This window comes from Homo sapiens, chromosome 11 (assembly GCF_000001405.40).
Source record: "Homo sapiens chromosome 11, GRCh38.p14 Primary Assembly".
NCBI classification, from domain to species: Eukaryota; Metazoa; Chordata; class Mammalia; order Primates; family Hominidae; genus Homo; species Homo sapiens.
Genome location: NC_000011.10, coordinates 13,921,037 through 13,930,389, shown reverse-complemented (window position 1 = coordinate 13,930,389; position 9,353 = coordinate 13,921,037). Strand labels below are relative to the sequence as shown.

Below are 9,353 nucleotides of genomic sequence, written 5' to 3'. Positions count from 1 at the left end.
TCAGTTTCCACACCAGTTAAAGTAGGAATAGTAAAGCCGTCTGCATAGACTTTGTCTAATAATTAAATGGAATTCCAGGGCAAAAGGTTGTATATACTCCCAAAATTCTATTCAGTCACATTTTTTTTTTCAGCGTGTACCACGGTCTTGGGACCACTAAAAGAATAACACACAGTCCCTGTTCACTCCAAATCACAAGTCAGTGGGCAGAAACAGATATAAGTAAGCAAGTAGCTATAATACATTTAGGTATCTCAGAGTTCTTCCAGGACAGCAGGGAGAAAGGGAATCAATATTGACTTAGGATCTAACATGTGAGTTTGAAAGATCCTTAAGGAGAGTCGTCCTGGGGTGTGTTCATATGTGTGTCTCCATAAGCTCATACTTATTTTGGACTTAGCCTTCTCCATGGCCTGGTTCCCTAGATGTCTGATTTTTCTTTAATAAGTACCAGGAAGCCAATCCCGACTAACTGCATCCCCTAGAACAGCCGAGAATGCTGATGACCACTTAGCACATTCTGAAACCATCAGCCAAATCTGGGGCCGGATAAATGTGCAAAGAAGGGCTCCCTGTTGACCCTTCCCCTGAATGCTTTTCCCAGCCCTGCTGTCTCCTGCTGCCCAGTAACTTGTTGCCGTGGGAGACAAGTGTACTTAGTGTGACAAGTCACATTGCACCCTGGGACTCTTCAATACCGTGTCAGGCTGACCCCAATGCTATGCCAACTCCACCAAATTATTGAGGACAGAATGCATTTGTGTTTAAATGCAGCACACATCTCTATGAGACCTTCCCTTGAATAATCATATTGTCTTTTCCCCTCCTTACAGGAGCCTGCAGAGGGATGGATCTTGCCTGGTTGGCACCTCTGTGGGTGCCTGGGTTGATTCCTCTGCTGCCACCCCCATCCCCTGGGTGTCATGTTCCAAACCCACCCAAAGACCAGACAGATGGGCCCCTTTCTTGGTGAGACAAGAGACACTTGCAGAATACAAATCACCACCCTGCATTAGGCTCCCCAACAGCACTAGAAATGGAAGCGAAAGAGATAAGCAGAATCCAGCTTTTAAGACTTCAGTTGTTAAAGTCAATGGATGGAATTCGTGTAAAAGGAGGCAAACGCTTTTCTGCAGTTTGGCCTGAGGTTTTTTTTTGTTTTGTTTTGTTTTCCTTTTTTCCTTTTTTTTTTTCCTTCCCAGCAGAGATAAATTGCGACATTTGGCAGCCCTTAAAATGTATCACATGCCTTTGTAATGATTTGCTTATAGAGTTTTTATGGATAATAACAACAACTAATATTTATTGAGCACTAACTACATGTCAAGCAACTAATATATGTTTATGTCTTTTAATCCTTATGTCAACACTATGAAGTAGGTTCTTGGATTAACCTCTCTTTATAGATTAGGCATGTGAAGCGTAGGAAGTGTGATTCATTTGCCCAAGGTCACATGGTAAGTGGGGGAGGTAGCACTCAAACTCAGGATATCTAACTCCAGATGACACGTTGTTAACTCTTGTGTGTTATACTGTTGCTAGAGAGGCAGCCTGGCCTGGGAGAGCAATGAAGTGTGACAGTTCTCTGCCACTTACCAGCTGTGTGACTTTGGGATGGTTACTTAAGTCCTCTGTAAAATAAGGATGATAATAGTATCTACCTCATAGGGTAGTATTACTAGTGACGGATTTGATACATATAAAACATTTAGTATCATGCTTGGCTTAGAGTAAGGATCCAATGTATGTTAGTTATTTGTATAGACAGTAATCCCCTCCAGTTTAGGATCCATGTCTCAGTCCTCTTTGAATCTTTACTCCCAACACATAGCACAGTGCAAAGTCCACAGTAGAAATGGATTCAACATTACTGGAATAAATTAGGAGATTAAATATTCTACAAGATAGTTAAAATGAAACCTTATTTTTATAGGTGATTTATTATTTACAAAGTGCTGTCATTTAGTTTAATTTGGCATAAGGTTTGTTTTTAAGTTAAAACACCAAGAAAATTTGACCCAGCAATTCCACTCCTAGGTGCATATGTATACACAAGAGAAATAAAAACATATGTTTGTGCAAAAACTTGCTCATGATTGTTCATAGCAGCATTATTCATAACAGTCAAAAGGAAGAAACAACCCAAGTGTCTATCAACTGATGAATGGATAAACCAAGTGCGGTATAGCCATACACTGGAATATTATTTGGCCATAAAAAGGAATGAAGTACTGAAACATGCCACAACATGGATGAACCTTGAAAACAGTGTGCCTAGCGAAAGAGCCCATTACAAAAGGCCACATATTTTAAGATTTCATTTACGTGAAATGTTCAGAATAGGTAAATCTATGGGGACAGAAAGTAGATTACTCATTGCCGAGGGTTAGGTGCATGGGGGTGTTTAGGAAGGGATTGATTACTAAAAAATATGGAGTTTCTTTGAGGGTGATGAAAATGTTCCAAGATCAATTGTGGCACTGATCACACAATCCTATGGATGTATGATAAACTCTTGAATTATATACTTTAAGTGGGTGAATTGTATGGTATGTGAGCTAAAAAAAGCTTTTACCAAGAAAAAAAAAGTCAAGAAAGTGGTAAGTCTCCAAATTAAAAGCTCAACACTGGTGCACTTGGCAGTCTCACCAGACTCCCCATTCTGCCCAAGCACTAATTAGGCAGCCTTGGCCACCTGCGCAGGACACAGCCTCAGCAAGGCAGACCAAGGAGGAATGAATAGACCATTAATTTATGGTTATTCTTCTATTCAAGTCCAGTTGCCCCTACTGTTTCTTTTTCATTGCTTTCTGTCTAGCTCTATTAGAGGGGATAAAATGTTGTAGGTTGACCAACCCAGTGCAGAACTGTGAGATATAAGATGAAGCCTGGTCTTTCTCAATATTAAATGAAGGTTCCCAAGCTGGAAATCAAGGCTAGATGAGTCTAAATATCAAATCTATTTATCATTTATAAGTTGCTTTCCTCCCCATGATCTTGTCTCAGAAACAAATAAAGCCCAATATTCTCAAACTCAATGCATCCTTTGTTTTAACGATGTTTTTCAAAAACTTAAGCAATTGCTGGTGGAAGGGAGAGAAGTCAGGATTCTAATTAAGTTGCCCCAGTTTGAAATTTATAGAAGATTGCCAAAGGATTCCAACACTGTAGGTATTTGAAAGTGAAGACAGAGGAAAAATGATGCTTGTAATTCCTGAGAGTAGCTATGAAGGTATGTAATTATGACTGAAACGGAAATATAATTTTATCATTTGGAAATCTTGTTCTTTGCTCTACTTTTCACTGGCAATGCTATATATAGACATACTCACAAGGGAAATTCCTTGGGTAGAAGGCGAAAAATAAAAATCACACTTTCTCTTTTCCTATTAGTACTATTAATGTAAACTCCAATAAATATTCTTTTATTTAGGGACATAGAGAAGATTTACAGATATGTTGATTTTGGTAAATGATTAGTGCTGACTTTCATTGAGTGCTCTTAGCTTGTCACATTTTTTAAATCTCACCTAATCCCTTCAGCTATCCTATGAGGTGTGCCTGTGGCGGGGTGGGGGGGGTACTTTTTAAAAAATATTATTATTATTCTATTTTGCAGATGAAAACAATAAGGCACAGAGAAGTTAAGTAACTTGCCCAGGGTCTCGCACCTTGTGTAAGAGATGGAGCTTAGATTTAAACTCCATCTGATTCCAGAGCCACTTTCTTAATTATTATCATATTCTGACTCTTCAGTAAATTGACATGCCATAAACTGGTTCCAGCCAACCAGGTGACTGCATTCTACCTGGGGTTTGGAAAAAAACAAGCTATGGGGCAGGAGGCTGTAAAACAGGCTGATGTGCTCAAGCTGATTAAATTCCTGTAGTCCAGGCTGGGTGCGGTGGCTCAAGCCTGTAATCCCAGCACTTTGGGAGGCCAGGGCGGGCGGATCACTTGAGGCCAGGAGTTCGAGACCAGTCTAGCCAACATGGCAAAACCCTGTCTCTACTAAAAATATAAAAACCTTGATTTTACTCTTGATGCTTCTTCTTTAAGAGTTGAATATGTTAGAATGTTGAAACAAGATATTATTACACAAAATAATATCATTTTGTTTGTTTAAATAAGTATTATCATTTCCTTTACTTTATCCATGTGCGCTGGGTGTCTTTGTATGCAAAGCAGTGTCCTTAGCCAGCCACGTGCTATTCCCCCACCTGGTATACCCTGCCCTCAGCCTACTCCTCACTACTTTGCTAACACCTATTCAAATATAACTTAGAATATTAGCTTAAAATATCACTTTCCAGAGAAGCTTTTCCTGAACTCCCCTTCTCTCACCCTTTTAAAATATATTCTCGTATCCTTTTACATTTTCCTTTCATAGCCTCTTCCTAGCTTGTAAGCAAATGTGTGATTAGCTATTCAACTGTTGTCTCCCCTGCTAAGATACAAGTTCCATGAGGTCAGGGCTTGGGCCTAGCCTATCTTGTTCATTACCATTTCTCCTGTGTTTAGCAGAGGATTTGTTATGCTTAATGTTTGAACAGTGAATGAACAAATGAAGGAGACATCAGTTTTGGTGTCATGTTGCTTACATTTTAGGAGTGTTGTATAAAAGCATGTATCTACAGGATAGGAAACAGGTTTAGAAGGAGAAGGAGCTCATCAGAGAAGGGGCTTATCAAGGCCATAACATTTGAGCTGGCCCTTGGAGGGTGGGCCAACAATTCAGAGGGAGACCTCAAGGGTGAAGCACACAGCCAGGCAAGCAGAGCCAGCTGAGTAAATTGCTGCAGTGTATTATATTTATTTAGGAAATAAAATAAGAAAAGAGTAAAACAGCAAATGCTTTTTTTTTTTTTTGTGCAGAAGCACTTAGATATAGGTTATCTTTTGGGACCCAAAGCCAAATGGAATTGCTTAGCTTTAAGATAGCTGTCTTCATGCATTGATGAAAATTATAAAAGCTGAGATAGCAAATATAAGCTGTGCCTTTGACACATAGACCATTCCTCACTGGGAAGAAAGGAAAAGAGCCATGAATTTCTGAGAATAGATGGGTAAGATGTTTTCTTTGTTCTTCTGCCTTATGCTGTTTTTCTATTCCCAATGAGAAGGATGAGGTGGCAGAATTTCTTAGCTTAGTCATGAAGTCTTTAAAACCTAGTCCTTCACTTTTGAAGCTCAAAATCAATAGAAGAAATCACACGAAGATCAATAGGTTCAACTCCATAAAAATTAAAATTATGTCAAAACCCCTCACAACCCAAATTAAAGGTGAACAATAAGCCAGAAAAATATTCACCACAACTCTGATGGCCAAATCCAGTTCAGTTCAGTTCAACATGTACCACTTGTGCATTCCTAGGTTCCTAGAACCATGAGGTCCTGAGAGCTGTAATGTTCAGTAAGACATCATGTCTGTTCTTAGAGCTCTGCTGACAGGGCAGCATGTAAAAGCTGACCATTCTGATGCAATGCTGTAAGTGGGAGAGTTGTGATATATGCGCAAGGAGAAAAGAGGAAGGAAGGGCATCTGATCTAGCCTGGGGCTCAGAGAAGGATCCCTGAAGAGAGGCCTTGGACTAATAAAAGTTGTGTAGGAGTTATCCAAGGCAACAAGGAGTAGAGGAGGAGGGTATTTAAGACAATGAGAAAAATGAATAAAGACATGGAAATGCAAAACATCTTGGTATGTATGTGCATATTGGGGTGGTTACAAATTCTTCAGAGTTCTGCAATAAAGTGTGAAATTTGGATTGATGGAGATAGGGCTGCTCAGGTAAACATATACATTTATAAAAGTTTTTACTTTATCCTACAGCTGACGGGCAGCCATCAGAAGACCTAACAAGGGCCTGGACTGGGTGATTTTAAGGCAAATCTTACAAGGCAAGGAACTAGTTAGGTTTGGGTACAGTTATGGTGTAACGGCTTTAGATTGGTGAGTGCAGTGAAGTTAGGATGCTGATGTGTTTTAACGAGTATGCTCTTAGTTTTGATAATTTAACTATTTAGCTGACCCACAGCCTCACCTTGCAAGGCGTGGTATTTCCTGGAGCAGCCAACTAAGTTGTTTTTTCTTGGTCTCAATGTTGTTTATCACAGGCCCAGGAAGTGTGCATGGTCTCAGCATTGTTTAATGTAGAGACAGGAAATTATGTTGGTTTTCTTGCAGAAAACTATTCAAGACTGACTTGCTTCAGCACTCAACCGTCAAGCCACTACTCCCCATCCGTGTCACTGCATTTTTGGCTGAATAAATCAGACTTTAAAACAATGCATTTGAGAAATGGGGTTATTGTGATCCTGGGGATTACCTGGTTGGGTGGAATGAATGGATTCTGGAGTTAGACCAACAGCTTTGGGGAGAGGCTGAGGTTTCCCACCTGTGGGGATGGGGTGTGGTTTCACACGCAGGGAGTTGAAGAAGAGGGAGAGACAGGAGTGTTGACCTCAAGATGAAAGGAGTAAACCTTGGGTAAGACACAGTGGGTCCTCTGGGAAGGTGTGGTATAATAAAAATATATTTGATCTTTGTCTCCAGTTCTTGGCACAGGGCTCCTAAAACCCTTGGAATTTCCTGAGTGACAGGAGTGTCCTTTGTTAGTCATAACAAGCCCCTTCCAACACACCTGAGTCAATGCTAATGAGGCCACTCGGGTTGGGATCCCTAGGTAATTTCAGTATAGAGGGCTGGTCCTTAGAAAATCCAAATAACCAAATACATGATTAGAGGGTGGGAACTCTCAGCACTACCCCTCCAATCCTCCTGACCTCTGGGGAGAAGCGGAGGTCTGAAGATTGGGTTGTTAAAACTCCTAAACAAGGAGGTTCAGAGAGCTTCCAGGGTGTTGAGCACATAGAGGTGCTGGGAGGGTGGAGAGGGACTGGAAGCTCAGTGCTCCTCCCCCATGCCTTGCCCTTTGCATTTCTGCCACTTGGCTGCTCTTGCACTGTATTCCTTCGTAATAAACCAGTAATAGTAAGTACAGTGCTTCCCTGAAATCTGTGAGTTGTTCTAGCAAATTAGCAAACCTGAAGAGGGAGTTGGAACCACTGAATTTATAGCAGGTCCTTCAGAAATGTAGGTGGAAACCTGGGCCTTGTGACTGGCATCTGAAGTGGGGGCAGTCTCCTGGGCCTGAGCCCTTAACCTGTGGAAACTGCACTAACCATGGAGAGTTAGTCTCAGAATTGAATTGAATTGCTGAACACCCAGTTAGTGTCGTGGAATTGGAGACTCGGTGGTGTTGGAAAAGACAGCACGCACTTGGTGTCAGGGAAAAACCAGAGAAGGGTTTAACATTTTTTGTTGTTCTTTTTCCTTACCGTCTGAGTCATTTTTGGTGTACTATTAAACAGTTCTCTTCATTTATGGAGATACTTTTTAGACATCTCAGCATGGAGCTTTGAAAATGGGGTGCTGGAAATTAGAGGTTTGAGGAGCAAAGGGAAACGTGGCCTTTGCAACACCATCCATCTGCTGAGGTGCATGTGGGATGGGGGCATCACTGGGCAGAGGGAAGGAATGGGAGCCCCGACAGAGATGGGGGAGGCAGGAGGAGCAGCACCATATCCAAGTAGCTGGCATGTGGATGCCAAGAACAAGCTCTGTCCCTGCCCCAGATATGTTAGAGGAAGAAGACCCTTGAAGAGAGCAAGCTCACACTTGGGCTGCCTTTTGTGTTACTGGAAAAAATAAACAAATTTAAAACCAAAAAAAGACATTAAGAGAGCGCTATTCTAATTCTCTGCATACTTTATGCGGGGAGACAGAAAGAACTAGGTTAAAAAGAGTAACATTAGCTACAAGATCCTTAATTGATAAAGGAAGAAGAACTCATTTAATTGGTGGCTGTCTTAAATAATGTGCATTGGAAAGTGTATAATCTAAAGTAGCACGCAGAGCAAGAAAAGTAACCAAGGAAATAAGGAAGTAGTCAAGAAAAGTTCCATAAATTAAATTATAGTTTGAAAGGATAAAGTCATGTTAACATTCATTACCATATTTTAATTTCATGGTGATTAAAATTATAATGTAGCATGTATTACCGCTTAATTGATCTGCCAACATCAAGAATTTGCAAGTTTCTTTTTGTTCTCCGAAGTCATAAACTATCTATTCTTCGATGCATAATTTCGGGGGTAATTTTAAACCATAAATATTTCTTTTTATTAAAATTCTCAGGAAATTAGAACCTCAATCGCTATTTATTTATATCTCCTTTGGTGAGAGGCCAGGAAATTCATTTTCTTACATTTTGAAATGTACAAAATTAAAGTGCTAAAGAATATTATCTATTAATCTTCATGCTTCCTTTTATGACAGTTTTACAGTTTAATCACAATGCTCAGAGATCTGAGGGTGACAAGCCAAGCTGTGTCCCTTTAAAACTGGGCATTTTTTTTTTTCATATAGGAAACCTCTCCTTGTTGAGGATGCAGACAGATCCATCCCACTGCCGAGCTCTGGCTACCCTTTCCAGGACAGGATTGTACTCCTGCGACACCAGTCTCCAGAGGCCTGGTGATATTCAAGGTCTTCATCCCTCTCGGGCACGCCTAACTAACACTCACCTCTTGGATGAGATGATGTCCTCGTGCTGCCCTTCTGCCGACCCTTCCCTGCAATCGGCCCTGACCTCTCAGAATGCAGCTTGCCCCAGACTGATATAGCTCATCCCTCATTGGGTGCATCTGTGCCCAGCTACCCTGGTTCTGATGAAGTAAATAGGACACATATGTCACCGTGGAGCCTCATGAGTCTCTTTAGATAAAGATAAATTTGGAAAATTGCAAAACTCTCCAGAGACAATACCTTCCTAATGATTTCTGCCTTCTTTGACACCTCATTGCACTGATTAATGGTCATTCAAATTGATCACCTGGCATAGCTCACTGTCAAAATAAAAAAGGACATATTTTAAAAAGTCAGGTGCTGTCTTGTGTGGTAGAATCCTGGTGTGTGTGTGTGTGTGTGTGTGTGTGTGTGTGTGTGCGCGCACACACACAGGCTTATAACAATGACAAACAGACGCAGCTTCTGAATCCTAAAATTTACTGGTGGCCCCCACTCTACGTGTATGTTCCTTAGTACTATAATTCTTAGGACTTTAAATAATTAGTCTCCACAATTTGCTCTCATATTAGCCAAAATTGTTAGGGTAAGGCTGGCCAAATATTTTAAGCCACATAAAAGTGGATAATTGTTTTTCTAGAGTCCTTTGTTATAGTCTACCCCGAGAGGTTAAAAAAAAGAAAATTAGGTGGCAACAGAAGCAGCCTCTTTTATAACATCGTTACAAGCTATGAGCAAAGAAAAGAAACCTACTTTGGATGCCAAG

General features: G+C 40.7%; 1 long non-coding RNA gene across 1 annotated transcript, besides 1 other annotated feature; it reads left to right on the top strand.

Annotated features, from left to right (window-relative positions):
- The first annotated feature begins 5,526 nt into the window (after positions 1 to 5,526).
- On the top strand, positions 5,527 to 8,943 carry LINC02683 (long intergenic non-protein coding RNA 2683). Its single transcript, NR_135052.1, has 2 exons — positions 5,527 to 5,698; positions 8,429 to 8,943. It is a non-coding gene; the product is annotated as a long intergenic non-protein coding RNA 2683 (long non-coding RNA).
- Positions 5,863 to 7,062: an enhancer, noted in NCBI's record as "MED14-independent group 3 enhancer chr11:13944875-13946074 (GRCh37/hg19 assembly coordinates)". NCBI's record gives its function as "activates an origin of replication core promoter dependent on BRD2, BRD4, P300/CBP and CDK7 cofactors, and independent of MED14, by STARR-seq in HCT116 cells {active_cell/tissue: HCT116}" and the evidence as "EXISTENCE:reporter gene assay evidence [ECO:0000049][PMID:35650434]".
- Positions 8,944 to 9,353: the final 410 nt, after the last annotated feature.